At 40.2% G+C, this 18,411-nt stretch overlaps 1 protein-coding gene across 17 annotated transcripts in view, besides 1 other annotated feature; it reads right to left on the bottom strand.

The window, feature by feature from the left end:
* The window catches only part of NLGN4X (neuroligin 4 X-linked), a 338,826-nt gene that overhangs the window by 293,518 nt on the left and 26,897 nt on the right, over positions 1 to 18,411 (bottom strand). The window contains exon 2 of one of the 17 annotated variants that reach the window (NM_001282145.2): positions 3,924 to 4,230. The exons of 14 other annotated variants lie outside the window; for them this stretch is intronic. The gene's annotated coding sequence lies outside the window, so the exon portion shown is untranslated. Of the gene's footprint in view, positions 1 to 3,212; positions 3,508 to 3,923; positions 4,231 to 18,411 lie in introns of those variants that run through there. 2 more of the 17 variants (XM_047442282.1, XM_006724504.3) reach the window with 2 other exon arrangements.
* Positions 17,595 to 18,095: an enhancer, noted in NCBI's record as "H3K4me1 hESC enhancer chrX:6119195-6119695 (GRCh37/hg19 assembly coordinates)". NCBI's record gives its function as "activates a minimal SCP1, AML or CMV promoter by ChIP-STARR-seq in naive H9 embryonic stem cells {active_cell/tissue: H9 hESC(naive)}" and the evidence as "EXISTENCE:reporter gene assay evidence [ECO:0000049][PMID:30033119]".

The following is an 18,411-nucleotide window of genomic DNA, read 5'->3' on the forward strand; positions in this document are numbered from 1 at the left end:
ACAAAAAAGAAATACTGCAATTTCTTCCTGAGACATAAGATCAATGAACTGATCTTCAACTACACAAAAACAAGATGGCACTGCTGTTGAAAATGACGTCAAAGGTCCACTCACTTTGAAGGATAATTAGATTAAATAGAATGTTTCCTAAAATCGGTAATTTTTTGGTTGGATAGTCAAGGAATCCCAACTCATGTGGTACTATTTTATCCCTTTTAATTACTTTCTCAGATGGTTGATGCCACATCATTTCAGAGTGTTGTTCTAAGACTTAACCATAGAAATGGTGATGATTTTAAAAACACCTGAAAACACTGAGTGTTAGCAAAATGTGTCCAGTATTCTAGTTACACTTTAAGTAAAATGTTTAAACTATAACCTAATATTTCAAATATAAAATAATAAATGACAATTATTCACTCTCAGTTAATTAACTGATTTTTAAGCAAGTATCTGGCTTAAACATTGAAAAATACAACCTATGATATCTTATCAAAAGAATTAGTTGAGATTTTTAACTAATTATTATAAAAGGCTAAATGGAAATAGTAGCAACAAAAGCTATCAAAAAACCACCTTTTATGAACTTTAAAATCTGTAGCTGGCAAATTTTCCATTTTAAAGTTTACCTTGATTATCAATCTTCAACTTTTGAAAGGTAAGAAATTAGTGAAGACACATATCACTGGACACAGTGTGCTGTTCTTTTCATTTACCTGATGCCATTTGCTTATTACTTTGCCAGATTTTATTTGTTAACTTCTTCTCAGAACAGCATAATTTGAACAATCCAATCAATTACCATTAAAAGGACAAGTGAAAGACTAAACATTCCCCAAGGAAGGTTTAAATTTTCCAAGTAATTGAGAAGAAAATATAGCAGCTAAAACAGTAGTCCTTTTAGAAGACTTAATTACAGATAAGTCAATGCTAAATAATTTATATTTTTCTGTACATATATATGAGATCAGAACAAATGCTGGGGGGGGTGGGGAATCTCTTAGACTCAACACTCAATTGCTTCCAAGTTGCTATCTTCTATTAAAAAAAAAATTCATAAGACATTGCACTGATTTTCTTCTCCACCCAGGTTTGCAAAACTCAAGAAGGAAAATTATACCTACTCATCCCCTGGTGAAAACAGAATGCTTCGTTTACCAAAACATGACTAACATAGCCCAGAGCCCAAGATAACTTCATCTTCCCATCCAATGTTAAAGCACCACAGAAGGTTTTCTGCAGAATGTGAAGGAACTCCACTCAGGAAGTTGGTGGGCTTTGGACCAATACACGGGAGAGCGTAGGCAAAGAATGGCGCCTTCTGAGAGTTGGATAAAACCAGCATTGCCCAGGGGCACTGCCTGCCCTTCTTAGCTGAGGGGATGGGCAATAGGTTAGGGAACCCATTTGGACTGCTCAGCCAGGACTTAGACCTTACGGCTACTGGTTTCCAGCCAGGGCTTGTTTCACTTCCTCTGAAACTGCTGAGTTGAGAACACTGGCCTGCATCCAACACATATAAAGCATCTTCTACGTGGCCTGCACTGTGATACATACTTGGCAGCATGACATTTTCTTATTTATATTTTAAACTGTGTACAAAGAGGAATAGCACAAAGGTTCATGGACAGGAAAGAGTGACCGCTGTTCCAGGCCTTTGCACTGACCACAATTCACATGGATCATGTTACCTTCTACCTTTAGTCCTAACTGCTATTTCCCCATCACCCCATGTCACACTTAAATTGACCAAGACTTAGAAACACAATTGAAATTCATGTTTTCAGCAGGCACTGTGGAAAGGGAAGTATAAAAGATTAAGAGAATGTTTTTCAGCAAAAGATCCTTAATCATCTGTGTCTAAAATATATTTAGTTAATATTTACTACAGGTCCACAGCATGCCAGGTGTGGCAGAGAACAACATGCCAGCGAAAGACAAAACAATTCCATTCCCCATTAATATTAATTATCCACTCCAAGGAAGCGTACTGAGTCAGAATTACTTCTCTCTCAAAAATTCCCACAAAAAATAGAATCCAGGAACCCCCTGGTTTTAACTGTACAAAATGCACTTCATTAAAAAGTTCAGTGAAGCGGAATAAAAATCACAATAATTGTTTGCATTTAAGCGTTCCTTTCTTCTAGATCATAAAACAAATGGATTGGAGTGTGAAAAAAACAGTCAAGATGTTTCTCCAAGATCAATCTGTGCAATAATGAACCTTAGCCCTAAGAGAGATCAACCAGCAACTGGAATCCATCACTTGAGCAGCTAGAGACCACCAATGAAAACCCACACGAACCAGCTGCAGCTTCTTGTGTTGTTGAACGCCACTGAATCTTTCCCTGGTGCACATAAATTTTACAGGTAAAATTCAAGGGTGTTCCCAGGCCCCACTCATCCATACACCCCAGATGCCAGGCTTTAAACTTGCTCTGTGTTTAAGAGTTGTAGTGCATGCATTCATAGAATTCCTAATACAAAAGCATATGCTCTGTTGTTAATGCTAATGTATTACATATTTCTAATTTAAAATGTATGCACGGATGCATTAACTCATAGGCCCAAGATGATCACCATGAATTGCCAAAGTATGCATTGCCAATGTTTTCTGGTAAAGGATCACATGATAAATATTTTAGGCTTTGTAGGCCATGCAGTGTCTGGGGCAACCATTCCACTCTGGCACTGTAGTATAAAAGAACCATATATGAAAATGTAAATTTAAGTGTGTGGTTGGGTTGCAAAACATTTTATTTACAAAAATTGGCCACCACCCATAGGCCATAGTTGACTCACCATAAGGTAGGGCATGTGTGCGGCACCATCATTTGCTCAAACTTGAGCTCATTTTTATCCTCCAGAGATCAAACATTAGCTTATGTATAATAACTTACAAACAGTGTAAAATGATTCATTTAACTATATATGCTTGCCCTTTTTTCCCATTCTGAAATATAGCCTCTTGACAGAAAAGCAGCATAAACTAGGGAGGAAAAACAGGCAAAAAAGTATCTGCACAAAGGAAACCTTATGAGTTTGAGAAAGAGATGAAAGGAAAAGGATAAAGGAAGTCTAAAGACAAACACATACATTAGAAACCACCATAGAATGAAAACGTTCCTTAAAAATCATGTTAAAAGTCTTTGTTTTTCTCTTGACATTTAAGCACTGAAAGAACACAGATACAAGACATAAGCCTTACTCACCATTTGTGTCATTGTGGATTCAGAATTGATGGTTTTTAATAAAAGCAGTGAACATATTAATAATTACTGTAAATTTACCATCTAATTAAATCTTAGAAAAATCATAATTAAGCTACCTGTATATCACCTTCATCAGTATTTTGTCTCTATAAAAATACATGACAATCTGTTTTCTCTAGAAATTTAAAGGAAATATAAACTCTAACCAGGCTGGAGTACAGTGGTACGATCTCAGCTCACTGCAAGCTCCGCCTCCCGGGTTCACGCCATTCTCCTGCCTCAGCCTCCCGAGTAGCTGGGACTACAGGCGCCCGCCACCGCGCCCGGCTAATTTTTTTGTATTTTTAGTAGAGACGGGGTTTCACCGCGTTAGCCAGGATGGTCTCCATCTCCTGACCTAGTGATCCGCCCGCCTCGGCCTCCCAAAGTGCTGGGATTACAGGTTTGAGCCACCGCGCCCGGCCAACTCCACCTTCTTTAGTCAGAGTGGCTTAAAAATTTCCTAGACCGTCCTGGCTAACACGGTGAAACCCCGTCCCTACTAAAAATACAAAAAAAAAAAAAAAAAGCGAGCGCCCGTAGCCCCAGCTACCCCGGAGGCTGAGGCCAGGGAATGGCGTGAACCCGGGAGGCGGACGCATGCGCACGTACACGCACAGGCACACGCCAGAAGGCACGCACACGCCAGGAGGCACGCACACATTTCCGCACCCGATGCCCTACGCATCACCGACGTAATGTCCCGCGTGGAGCCCCACAGGGAGGAAGTGCCATTAGAAGAAGGTGGGGCGAAGGTCCCAGGCGAAGTCTCCACTGAAGGAGCTTCTGAGAAATGCTGAGATAAAACAGTCCTCGCCAAGGCCTTCTTTTCCTTCTTTCTTGTACTAAGCATTAATCTTCCTATCCCCAGAGGCCAGTATGTCAGTGCCCATGGGAATCCTATCGCTCCAACATGTCCCTCTTTTTCTCTAGCAGATGTCATGGACCCACCTTGTAGGATTTTGGAGGGGAATGGTCCCTGGTGAGAGAGGAATCAGGAAATTAGTTTTGCAGAATGGGAAAACTGAAACTGTTGCCTCAGCATGAAAAGGTAATTGACATAAAATAATCTTTGACTCGACACAAAACAAAGAAACACAGATGAGCTTTAAAAAATTAAGTTACATTTTAAAAAAATTAAGTCGGGGAAATTTTTGAATAAACAACAAAATATATTTATTTTCGTTTGATCAATAACCTACAACGCCCTTCCCACTTCTTAATTTAGCAAATACTTATTAGTTTACTGCTATGGGACAGGCACTCTTGTGGCTGACAGAGAAAGAAAAGTTAACAAGAACCAGCACCCGTCCCTGGTGTTTCCATGTATCCACCATAGTTTACATAAAAGGATTAGATATTGAAGTTTTGATAATTGTACACTTTTTAAAATGTCCATCAAGTACTAATTTTAAAATCTAAATATTAAACTAAACTTTATTTTCCCCATGTCTGCACAACTCTGTTCATCTCTTTTAATTTCCGAGAAGACGAAATACTCTGATTAGCTCCTAAATACTCCCAAGCTAGATAGAGGAGAAATCTTTTTTAGCAATTACTCTTCAATTGATGAGCTTTCATCCCACTTTCTAAGTGGAAGGAGCATATCATAGAGATTGCGCGTGTATTTCAATCACAATTTACCCCATTGTCTGCCTTTGAAATGTCCTTCAAGAATCGCAGGTGTCTTTGTAATAACATTCAAATACTGTCCTTTTTTTTTTTTAGTCGTTGATTCCCTAACATCTGAAGGTTATACTGTAGTTGCTGCACCACATTGATTTGCATAACTACTCTATGTCCTTTGAAACCACAAAATGTTTAATAAAAGATTCATTTGGGTAATATGTGTTCAGAACTTAGTATCAACAATCTCAATGTTCAAACTTACAGGCCCCTAGAATTATCCTGATCATCCCTTGACTTAAAAATTATGTTTTCAGGAATGCCATGAAAGGAATTTTTCTTGATCATCAGTTTTGAATTGGACTAAGTCATCCTAGCAATAAAATAAATTCTAACATAAGATCACTAAGACTATCCAGATTATCATGAAAATCCATTGCAAAGAATTTTCCCTAATAGGGGTTACAAAACCAGAAAGTGTTCAGTCAACTGTATGTAGAAAAATTGAATGAACTGACATAAATTGAAATTTTCGAGTATTAAATAGGCTTCACAAATTATTTGTACTTCTCAGCTAGCTGTGGTTCTTAATTTACATTCACACATTCTTCATAGTGAAAAGGAATGAATGCCTGTCTCTGCAGTCTTTAAACATACCAAAAACCTAGTAATTGCAAACAACTAATTAGCAGCAGAGCTGGATTACAGCATAGATGTCCTCATTATCAGGCCTATGTGTGTCTCCACGAAATCCTCCACCCCTCCTCAAGGACAACTGATGTCACTGAAGAGTCATGATGCCTTCAGTTCTTACTGAGGATTTTGAGAATACTGGGAAAGGAAAAACCCTTTGTCACTTGTTTTTCATCCAGCCAACTGATTCTTGGTGTACAATGTAGGAAATTCCAACCTAGGATCACCATTCAGCAAAGACCACTCCAAATTATCAGGAAAACACACTCCAAAGCATTCCCCCCTTAAGAGAAAATGCAGCTACCAATTAAGCAAAAGCAGTAGCTGACTCTTGCAGAGACATACTGATAATGCCCAGTGGTTTCAAATGTAGTTTGAACCTAAGTGCATATGGTAAAACAATTTTAAAAAAGTCCTAGGTTCAGAAGTTCTCATTTCCTTCTCATGATTGTGCACTTTATATAATGTTCCCTTTGGGTTTCATAAAGTGAGTCTATCATATTATAAGCTGTGACTCGTCTATAGCTCTGAGCCTGATGCCAGACCTGTTACTACTGCTTCTCCTTGGAACTAGGACAGTCTGATTATATTCACCTGAATGTGCTTTGCACTGCAGCTACTGAAATAATTACAACCAATGCTGCATTGGGTTCCTGTTCCAAAGGCTGTAAGTGTGAGAGAGAAGACAAACATTTCTTAGACTTCAGGCCTTGATTATTTATTAAGACTCATCCAGGTTGAAAAAAAAGAAAATGGAAAAAAAGAAAGTCGTGTAATTCAGGAGCCAAAGGGATTTACATAATGTATCATTATTGATTATTTAGCTGTATATGCTGATGAAAAATGATGTGTACCTTTATTCGTTTTACCTTTGATAAGACAAATAAATCTATACTAGATAAAAATAGCAAACAGCTGATCAATCATTTTTCCAAGTATGATTTTCTTCCAATTTGTATGTTAATGATCAAATGGGGGAGGTGGGACAGCATTAATCTTTCTTTATAAATTACAAATTATCTTTGAAAAACAAAACCTAGTATTTGTTTATGGCAGGAAATATGGAGAGATGTTTAAAAATCAACTTTGTTGGAAACAAGAGTTCCATAAAGGACATGACCTTGACAATCTTCTAGAATCAAGGAAAAATACTGAAGTTTTATTCTGTAAAGAGAAAGCCATGGATAGGAAAATTATCTGGCAATCATTAAAGAGATACTCAAAAGGCCTTTGTGGTCTAAATTTTGACAAAAGTTTGGAAGCTACAACATTCAAATTGATAAGAAAATTTGTCAATAACCAATATTTAAGCAATCAAATTGTAAAGACTTCAGATTTGCAGCTGAACCATGAAAAGACAGAGCCATTTACTTGAGATGTATGAAAGCATCAGATGAACCTTTCTAAAATTTGAGTTTGTGGGGAAGGGTCCAGATTTTCAATTGTGAAATATCTCCACTAACATGGGCTCACAGCTGTATATCACAAAAGTATTCTACCCATATCTTTTCCTTGGGCTCTGCTCTCTTTCTAATGTCCAGACAGTGAGAAGGATCTCATGGTCTGAGTGTCCCCTCTGCCTGTACTAGTAGTACCTGTCTGACATTTTGAACCCCACTCTGCAGGGGCTACAAATACAAAGGGTAAAATGAGATGCTGGGGTCATTCAAATGGCCCAAGATGGACTTTTTGAGTCCTAGATCATTGCAAATCTTTACTCTAGAAGAAAATGGACTTCCGGTGAGCAGTGCAGCCAAGGGTGAATTTCTGAGAGGTTTACATACAGTGAGTCAGACAGGTGACCTTCATCTGTGTTTGTCTACTTTATGAGATGTACCCCGAAGTGTGGCCATGAGGAGGAGCAGACAATTATTTCAAAATCCTAAATTTCCAGGCATGTCACTTTGGACACTCCAAATGAGCTTGAAACCACTGCTTTCTACTTTTATTTGTTTCAAATTGTTTTTTTTTTTTTAAGTAAACAATTTTCACCACCAAAGTAATCCGAAAGCACTGCTAGACTTGGTTTAACCAGGCTCAAAAATGCATCAATGAAATAAGTCAGTAGAGGTTAATGATTACCAATAATTATTTTTTCAAAATTATCCATCAACTCATGCAACACAGGATGGGGTAGAACTTCAGTAAGGAGGGAAAGGAAATGTTGCACACAGGCAGACAGAATAGCCTAAATCAAAGGCTAGAGATAGGAAGGCACCAGGCTTGGGATTGCCTGGGTGGAACAAGGGACTGGAAAAGAAGTTCAGATGCTCTAAAGGGGGCTTGATCCAAAGTGAAGTGTGTGCTGGGCACAGTGGCTCATGCCTGTAATCCCAGCACTTTTGGAGGCCAAAGCGGATGGATCACTTGAGGTCAGGAGTTCGAGACCAGCCTGGTCAACATGGTGAAACCCTGCCTCTACTAAAAATACAAAAATTAGCTGGGTGGGAAGGAAGTTGTGGCTCACACCTGTAATCCCAGCACTTTGGGAGGCAAAAGCAGGCAGATCACCTGAGGTCAGGAGTTCAAGACCAGCCTGGCCAACATGGTAAAACCTCACCCCTACTAAAAATACAAAAACTAGCTGAGCGTTGCAGTGGGTGCCTGTAATCCCAGCTACTCGGGAGGCTGAGGCAGGAGAATCACTTGAACCTGGGAGGTGGAGGTTGCAGTGAGCTGAAATTCTGCCACTGCACTACAGCCTGGATGAAAGAGCGAGATTCTATCTCAAATAAAAAAAAAGTGTGTATGTACTTCAGAAAAGTCGATTAACCAGTAAGACTGACCAATATGGCATTTTTCAGCATTCTAAAGTTTCCTCTGAATTTTCTGTTGAAATATTTTAATTCTGGATCAGGCACTTTCAGCAATATTGATGAGTTCCCATTCATGCTCATCCAATGGGACTCTCACCCAATGCATCCCCTACCCCTTACCTAGAAAGTTTGGGCATTCCTTAGACATCACCAGGCACTGAGCGTTGCATAGACATTGTTTTCACCTAATTTTTTTTTTCTTTGAGACAGGGTCTTGCTCGTTGGCCAGGCTGGAGTGCAGTGGAGCAATCACAGCTACACAGCCTCAAACTCCTGAGCTCAAGCGATCCTCCCACCTCAGCCTCCCAAGTAGCTGGGACTACAGGTGTGCATCACCATGTCTGGCTAATTTTTAAATTTTTTGTAGAGATGAAGTCTCACTGTGTGGCCCAGGCTGGTCTCGAACTCCTGAACCCAAGTGATTCTCCCTCCTCAGCCTCCCAACGTGTTGGGATTACAGGCATGACCCACTGCACCTGGCCTCAATTACTTCTTATAATATGACAGGTTAGGTATTTTATTACCCATGTTTGACAGCAAAGAAAGAGGAAGATATTAAAAGGTAATGAATGAACCATCTACCTAAGGTCATGCTGTAGTGTGTGCTTCCATCCTGCAGCCTAAAGATCCTTCTTGGATGCCTCTTCCAACAGACACCCTGGCGTCCTGATAGGCCCAGGGGTTACAAGGAGAGCATGCAAACAGAATGAAGGGGCCTGCGTAACAGCAGCACATGTTTCCCATAAGTGTGGCCAATGATCTGGGGCTGACCCTCCCTTGTGGATCTGTTTCCCCTTAGAAAAATGAGGTGGTGAGAATGAACCTACTGCTCTCCCAGCCATGCATGACTCACCTGGGCTGTCCTCCAGGCAGACCCCAACTCCACCACCTTTCTTCCCAATCTTGCATCTAAGCTCTGATCAGATGGGAACAATCGGGCTCAAGGAAGGATGAGGTTCTTAGGGTTACAATGAATGACAGTGAGCCTCCCATACAACCCTCTGGTCTGAGCTCCAGGTTCAGGGTTTTGAACAACTGCCGGAGCCCACAGCCTGGCCACACAGTGGTTCCCGAGTCCAACGGTGCAGTCCAGAACACAGTCATTGACTGCTGTGCTGGACTCGCCAATAACTATTCCTGATACTTACCATTGCCTCGTCCTTCTGAGATGGTGCCTTTAAAAATGCCTCCCTGGGCCGGGCGCGGTGGCTCACGCCTGTAATCCCAGCACTCTGGGAGGCCGAGGTGGGCGGATCACGAGGTCAGGAGATCGAGACCACGGTGAAACCCCGTCTCTACTAAAAATGCAAAAAATTAGCCGGGCGCAGTGGCGGGCGCCTGTAGTCCCAGCTACTCGGGAGGCTGAGGCAAGAGAATGGCGTGAACCCGGAAGGCAGAGCTTGCAGTGAGCGGAGATCGCGCCACAGCACTCCCGCCTGGGCGACAGAACGAGACTCCGTCTCAAAAAAAAAAAAAAAAAAAAAAAAATGCCTCCCTGGAAACCTACTTGATTTTTTTTTTCCATCTTAGCACATTGTTCCCTATTTAAAAAAAAAAAGAAAAACATACCTCTCTCCATCAGTAAAAGAGATGATATTGTTTCAAAACCAATGTGACATTCCTTATAAGCTTTCTTATGGGTAGTTACAAGAACTAGCCGATCATGACATGAAGTAATTCTTAACTTGTTCCCTAATAAGTCAAGGAACTAGTCTAGTGGGAGCACCTACACACATGCATGGCTGCATGTGGAATCTCTATGCAACCATTTTAGCACACACATGCAGTTTGAGAATACAAAATCAATGAAGACTCCTTGAGGTTTCCAATGGGCAACTCATAATCTGGTTGGCATTGATCTGGGTGGCATTAAAGTTTTGTTGGAGATCATCAACTCACTGTATTTCTCCATTAGATATAACTTGTTTAATAAAAGAAATCTGCAAAATGTGTGAAAAGAACCAATCAATCATTTAGAAATCACTTATTTGCAAGAACTAATCCTCAACCTGCAGAGATGTTTTGCTGTGGCAGAAGGTCAGAACAACACTGCCATTGACTCTACTGCAAGAAAACTTATCTCAAAATTAGCTGGATGTGGCGGCATGTGTCTATGGTCCCAGCGGACTCAGGAAGCTGAGGTGGGAGGATCACTTGAGCCTGGGAGGTTGAGGCTGCAGTGAGCTGTGATCGCACCACTACACTACAGCCTGGGCGACAGAGCAAGACCCTGTCTCCAAAAGATATATATATTAGGTTGGTGCAAGCGTAATTGCAGTTTTTGCCTTACATTCACGGGTATAAACCGCAATTATGTTTGCGTCAACTGAACAGATATATCATCTCCATTGGATCAGTTATCATCTCAGGACCATTCGGAGTTTTTCTTGCCATCTCACCCGGAATGCTCTCTTTATAGGATGCGTCTCATGCGACACTCCTCCTTCTACTTTTAAGCAAGAACCATCGATAAGTAACACCTGCGAGATATCTAACAGAGTACCACGTGGCCTTTCACACTCAGGATTTTGCATCTATAGGAAAGATGGTAAGGGAAGAAGAGGATACATCACTCAATACCCTTCTGGGCTTACTTCCATGCTTGAAAAAATATTAATACAAAGTAGATAAGGCCTTTGGGTTTCATAGCTAATGAGCCAGCACATTATTAAATTACAGGAAGACAAGATCATATTTTAACTATGTTTTTGATTTCTCATAACACCTAGCACATTTTGTTATTAATAGGCATTATCATAAATATTGTTGATGAAACTGTATTTGTAAAAATGAATTTATATTTAACAACAATCATAATAACATTCATCTTCACTGACCCTTCTACAGCCAAGGGCAGGAGTTATTATGACATCTTATTTTACATTGGGAAAAAAATGATATCCAGGTGTTAAGTAACGCAGCTCACTGAAGCAGGGAGTAAGACCTATCTTGACTCCAAAGACCATGCATTTTTTCAAGATATCAAGCTACCTCCTCATCCAAACAATTCTAATAATAGTAGTAATAATAGTTATTTTTTTATTTTTTATTTTTATTTTACTTTAAGTTCCGGGATACATGTTCAGAATGTGCAGGTTTCTTACATAGGTAAACGTGTGCCATAGTGGTTTGCTGCACCTATCAACCCGTCACCTAGGTATTAAGCTCCACATGCATTAGCTGTTTGTCCGAATAATAAGTTATAATAGCTAATATGTACATAGTGGGTCAGCATCTAACTTGCTGAATTCTTTACATATACTAACTCTTAATTGTCTCCAAAAACATATAAGGTATATGTGAGCTTTATCCCCATTAGTTGAGAACACTAATGCAGGGACAGATTAGCTAACCTGCCCAACACCACAGAACTATAAAAGTGGAGCCAGAACTCAAGCTGGGTGGCTTGGCTTTCACCTGCCTGCCATAGGACACTGGCTCAGGTGGGGATTGAGACCATCATTTCTCTCCCACATCCCGCAATCTCCGCACTGTGGGGATCCATGGCTGAAACAGTTTTCAACAGTGACAAAAATTACCAGTGGAAGAAAAAATAAAGTTTTGTGATATTAGCACCAAACACAGTCCCATGATGCATGAGTGTGCATATAGTAAATGCTCAATTAATATTAGCTCTTGAAATTGTATTATTAAGACTTTGAAATTGCCTATACATTTATTTTACTTGATCATACCTTTGTTCACACCCTCCAATCAGTGTTAAATTTACAATTATCAAGTTAGTGATGTATGTGTGTTTCAGAAAATTTTACAATAATTAGTGTGCATTGTATCTGACTGGCTATATTTTTTGTGATACGGTAAAAATTATTATTATTATTTTACTTATTTATTAACTTTGGAGACAGACCTCACTCTTTTACCCAGGCTGGAATTCAATGGCACGATCACAGCTGGCTGTAATCTCAAATTCCTAGGCTCAGGTGATCCCCCTGCCTCTCAGCCTCCCAAGTACCTGGGACTACAGGTGGATGCCTCGAAACCTGGCTAATTTTTTAAATAATCTTTATAGAGATAGGATCTCACTATTTTGCCCAGGCTGGTCTCGAACTCTGGGCTCAAGCAATTCTTCTGTATTAGCCTACCAAAGTGCTGAGATTAATAATAGTCATGAGCCACCACCCCCAGCCTATTATTACTGTATTAGGTTTGAGGTTTTGTTTGTTTCTTGGTTCGCTTAGCTTTGTTTACAGGTTTGTTTAAATACACAAGTGAGATGGTGAAACTAATTGTATCTGTGTGTGCTTCCCCTATTTTCAAATCCGATATTGCTAAAATCTGATGGAACAAAATATTCCCACTGAAAGTGTTTCGGTGGCTCACGCCTGTAATCCCAGCTACTCGGGAGGCCGAGGTGGGCGGATCACGAGGTCAGGAGATCAAGACCGTCCTGGCTAACACGGTTTAACCCTGTCTCTACTAAAAATACAAAACAATTAGCCGGGCGTGGTGGCGGGCGCCTGTAGTCTCAGCTACTCAGGAGGCTGAGGCAGGAGAATGGCGTGAACCCGGGAGGCGGAGCTTGCAGTGAGCCGAGATGGCGCCACTGCACTCCAGCCTGGGCGACAGAGCGAGACTCTGTCTCAAAAAAAAAAAAAAAAAAAAAAAAAAAAAAGTGTCTCATGTGTAGTCATCTACCTGGTGAGTCTCCCTGAAAAGAACTCTGTTCATCCATTCTAGTTCTGCCTAGTAGGAGTGTGTTCACAGTTGCTGCCCTTGAGGTCAGGAATGTTTCCATGCATCCTGCAGGCCTCGGTCACCACCTCTCCTTTTATGGGGTCCCTGGTCTCTATCCTCCATGCAGACTCAACTGTCTTTCCTGCAGTCCATGGTTATGTATTTCCTAACTAGGTCTGCCTCTTCATAAAGGAAAACCCTTCCTGGGGGTACTCACAACACAGCATTCTTCCTGGCTTCTCTTTTGCTGTTGTTGGAAATCCCAAGCACTGAGGAGGGAGAGAAAGGCAGGGGCTTTTTATCACACCCATAGGTGATGCCATTTGGGTGCAAGGCAGAATGCAGACCACTAACACTCTCTGTTCAAATAATCACTATTTCATGTTTCCCCTTGGTTCTCAGTGATGTGATTCACTCTCGCAAACGTTATTTCATTTATTTAGAGCTAGTTATAAGCCATTGTCATGTAGCTGATACAATATTTCAAAGGTTAAAGAATAAATTATCTAGATTAAAATTCTTCTGGACTTTATTCCAGAATTTGGACAAGATAACCTATTACAGAAGGCCACAAGACAGAACGAGATCCTGTATCAAAAAATGCAATTTCATATTAATATGAAGATGATCAGCCATTTGTACTCATATTTATCTGTTGCCTAGACTGGAGTGCAACGGTGCAACCTTGGATCACTGCAGCCTCAACCTCCCAGGCTCAAGCAATCCTCTCACCTCAGTCTCCTGAATAGCTGGGACTACAGGCATGCACCACCATGCTCAGCTATTTTTTTTTTTTTTTGTATTTTTTATAGAGACGGAGTCTCACTATGTTGCCCTGGTTGCTCTCGAACTCCTGGAAGCAAGCGGTTGGTGCCTGCTGGGCCTCCCAAAGTGCTGGGATTACAGGCATGAGCCAATGTGCCTGGCTAGAATTGCATTTTATAATCTAAGTTGTCATATAAAAACTTTATCCTATGGTATTCATATCATTTGTAATAATTTACATTCTACTTAATAAATAAGTTTTTGATCACTATCTAAAAGTATCTTTTAAAAACATTAATTATACAGGATGATAGATTTTCAATAGTCAACATGAACTAAAGCAGAAAGGTGCTAATTAAACTAACAGTTATGGGGCCGGGCGTGGTGGCTCATGCCTGTAATCCCAGCACTTCGGGAGGCTGAGGAGGGAGGATTGCTTCAGCTCAGGAATTTGAGACCAGCCTGGGCAACATGGCGAAACTCTGTCTCTACAAAAAAATACAAAAATTAGCGAGGTTTGGTGGTGCACGCCTGTAGTCCCAGCTACTCCACAGGCTGAGGTGGGAGGATTGCTTGAGCCCAGGAGCAGAGGCTGCAGTGAGCTGTAGTTACGCCACTGCACTCCACCCTGGGTGACAGAGTGAAGCCCTGTCTCAAAAAACAAAAAAAATCAGCATTTATGGAACATTCATATCATTTTAAAGAAAGCTTAGCATAAAGAGAATACATTAGTCAAAGCATACAAAACTTTGGAGGAATATCAGCTGTGGAAACTAAGAAGGTTATCATCCACACTATAATGACGTTTCGAATAAGCCTCTCCATGTAAGTTCATCATTACAACTAAAGATTTGGGGGTTCAGAGAGATGCACATAGCCATTCCAACTCGCCCTGGGTAGTCAGTCAAGAAGACACCTAGGACATAAGATATAACGATATAAATATTTTCATCAAGATGACATTGATAGAACTCTGACTTTTCATATGATGCTAATGTTATCCCTTTATATCAACAGAAATTACAATACAGATTGTCTAGAAACCCTAAGTCATGTCATTGTACAAGTGTTTGCTGAACGTGGACCATGAATGTGCTGTGAGGACAGGGAAGGGATCCTAAAGATGAACGCCACCTGATCCCTCTCCTCAGGGTCTTTCAGGGAGCGCATCATTAAGGCAAGTGCTTACAAATTGCATGAGCTCCTATACTGGTGATACAAGAATAGACAGTGTCGTGCTCAGAAGAGGCAGCATCTCAGAAAAAGCTTCAGAAGATGTCCTCAAAGATGACCTTGAAAGAGGAGAGAGAGAGAAGGAGCATGTTTCTCAGAGTGGGACCCATGAAAAGCAAGAGGTGGAAAATGTAGCCAACCACCCAGTGACCTCAAGAGGTCTAGACTATGATTCTAGCCAAGGTTCTGACAACACTGATGACTAATATGAAGATGTAGGCCTACACAAACACACACAAAAACAGGAAAATACAAAGGTATTTTTAAAACCTGAGGATATCTCAGAGGGATTTTTAAGTTAAAAAGAAGTATCTCTAGGATGGTCCATTATTTATTGAATTTTCTTTTGAGTCCCAGTGACCCCCTAAATTTCTAAACTAAAAAGTAGGAGGACAAATTTAATTTTGGTAGATTTCTTGATTAACTACAACAATATGGTATGCTCAGCTGAGAAAAGAATTTACCTGCAGGTTTTAGTGTAGTCATTCTGGATATTTCCGGATGTGAATATGAATGTTCAAATGAACATAAATGACCTTGATTTGTACCCTAAGTTATCTCAACAAAATTGTATGTCCTTTCCTCAAACAGAGCAATCTTTCAAACTGTATTTATTTTTTTAACTTGCAAATTTAATAAATCATCTGATTTTTGGTCTTGGATTTGCTCCCATTTCTCAACACAACATTCATCTTACTTAATTTTTAGCATTATGAAATCAAGAAAATATTAATGAATAAAAAAATTCTATTTAGAATTTTAGAAGAATAAGTTTAAAAATAGAGGATTGATTTTACACAATTTTGCTCCTCCCAAATCATCCCACAATTCTGATAAACTCTCAAGAAATTAATTTATTGACCACACTGCTAGTTTTGACCCACATCTTTATAAGGAATTTAAAAAGCACATAGACTCATCCATCCAGTGAGCAGTAGAAGTAAGCAACACTGCACGGCAGATTTGTAGCTTTAGTGTTAGAATGTAAATGATTAAACCTCAAAATCCTGAACTTTCTTAGACTGCATCACTGTCAATCTTCCAGGCACGGACCAGAATGAGAAATTTGACAAAAATTTTCTATGACATCATCTTTAATGAAATACAGGCAAAAAATGTAAAAACTCTAGGGACATTAATACAGATGAGGAAGTTTTTTTAAAGATAGCCATTTAGAAAAAATCACATGCATGTACTGAGTGATCCAAACATTTTTGGTAAATCATGCTAATTTAGAAATACCAAAGCAAACAATCAAGGAAGATCGATATTCCCTTAGGTGAGAGAGGAACTTTCCCCTACAGTGCGTTGATTTTACAATGAAAGACATCCTTCCCTCAGTCTCCCTGGCTTGGCTGCATATCTCAGAAAACTGTGATAGCTGACTTAACACTTGTTTTTACCAGGCAACATTTGATTTTCTCATTCATTAAATGAATATCTATAGAGTGTCTTACAACTACTCATTTCTTTAATAAATACCCAGTAAGGGCTGATCTATTCCAGATTCATGCAATACACATGTTTAGAGAATGCAGAGAAAAATTCACTAACCCCCCAGATCCTCCACACATATCCATAAGTAGACAAAGAATAAAAAAGCCTTTGAGATCAGGTGAGCTCAGAGAAGAAAGTAAATAATGGGTTAAATAAGAACACAATCGAGGGTGGAACCCACTTTAAATGGGAACAGGACAGGGTGCTCTGGGCAGAGGGAGTGGCACACAAAAATGTCCTAACACGGTATCCACTCAGATCACAAAACCAAAAGAGGACTGGGACAGCAGTTCAGTGAGAAGAGGATGGCCTGGGATGAAGGTGGAGAAGTGAGCAAGAGGCTTACTGTATAAAAGTGGAATAGGTCAGTGAAAGGAATTTGGGGTTCATTCTCAGTGTCATGAGAAACAGTCCTTTGTAAAACATTTTAGACTACGAAGGAGAAAGACAAGGATGGGCCAAAGATAAGTAATGTCAAGGCCGCCTTCAACACTTTCTAAATACCTGTTTTAAAGTGCTTTATATGCTTAATTTATTCCTTTCCTTTTCTTTTTTTTTTTTTTTTTTTTACAAGATCTTGCTCTGTCACACACGCTGGAGTGCAATGGTGCAATCCTAGCTCATTATAACCTTGAATACCCAGGCTCAAGCAATCCTCCTGTCTCAGCTTCCCAAGTAGCTGGGATCACAGGCATGTGCCATCATACCTGCCTAATTTTTATTATTATTATTATTATTCTTTGTACAGACAGGGTCTCCCTATGTTGCCCAGGCTGGTCTCGAACTCCTGGGATCAAGCAGTCCTCCTGCCTCAGCCTCCCAAAGTGCTTGGATTACAGGCATGAGCCACAGTGCCTGACCTTAACTTATTTATTTTGCAAACATCCCTCGAGGTAGGTACTCTTCTCACAGCCCTCAACAGCTGAGGAAACTGAGACACAAGACGTCAACTACTGAAATTCACACTCAAGAAAGTATCAGGTCTCCTGGCCTCTGTAATGGAAATTGATGACTACCACAGAGGAATACAAACAATGCATGTTAGAGAGAGCAGTGAAAGAAACAGCATTTTAGCCCTCAGTCATGAATAAGGTGTGGAGATGGGAAAATAACAGTATTCCAGGTTGAAAGAGAGCCTGAGAAGAATGAGAAAAAGCAAGAAACCAAGGTGAAATGCAGTGATTCCTATCCATACTCAGGTTGGGTGGAGGATGAAGTATAACACCCAGAGGAGTAAAATGATGACTGCAGTTGTAACGGCGGAGATGGGGCAGGTGGTGAAGCACAGTGGATGCTTGTTTATGAATTTTGAACGAGATAGTAGTCTTACATAATCAATTATTTGTGAAGATGAAGAAAGAATAGCTTTAAAAATAGATTGGAGAGTGTACAAGTCATAGACAGGATATGATTAAAATAGTAACACATAAAGTGAGAAGATGACCAAGGAAAGTACAGATGTATCTCAGAAGAAGAAATGACAGGACCTGTTATTTCTGAAAGTGATTTACACTGGGGATGGGAAAGAGAGGGGATTCAAATCCAAGATGAGGAATTGAGAGGAGAAGATGCCATGAGCAGGGAGCAGGGTAAGCTTGGCAAGAAAGATGATGGGACAATTTTGGGAACACTGAATTGAGTTTTGGCCAGAGCATATAGGCAATGTTGTTGAAAGGGGAGCTGTAAGGGCAGGAAGGAACTTGGAAGAGAAGTGAGAGCAGAAGATAGAGACCCCTGTGGTCTCTCCGATGGAAATAATCATCAAACCATGAGTAGATGCAAAGCTACATAGGACAGTACGGAAGGAAGAGGAGTGATTCGAGGATGGAATT

Source organism: Homo sapiens, chromosome X, assembly GCF_000001405.40.
Source record: "Homo sapiens chromosome X, GRCh38.p14 Primary Assembly".
Lineage (NCBI taxonomy): Eukaryota > Metazoa > Chordata > Mammalia > Primates > Hominidae > Homo > Homo sapiens.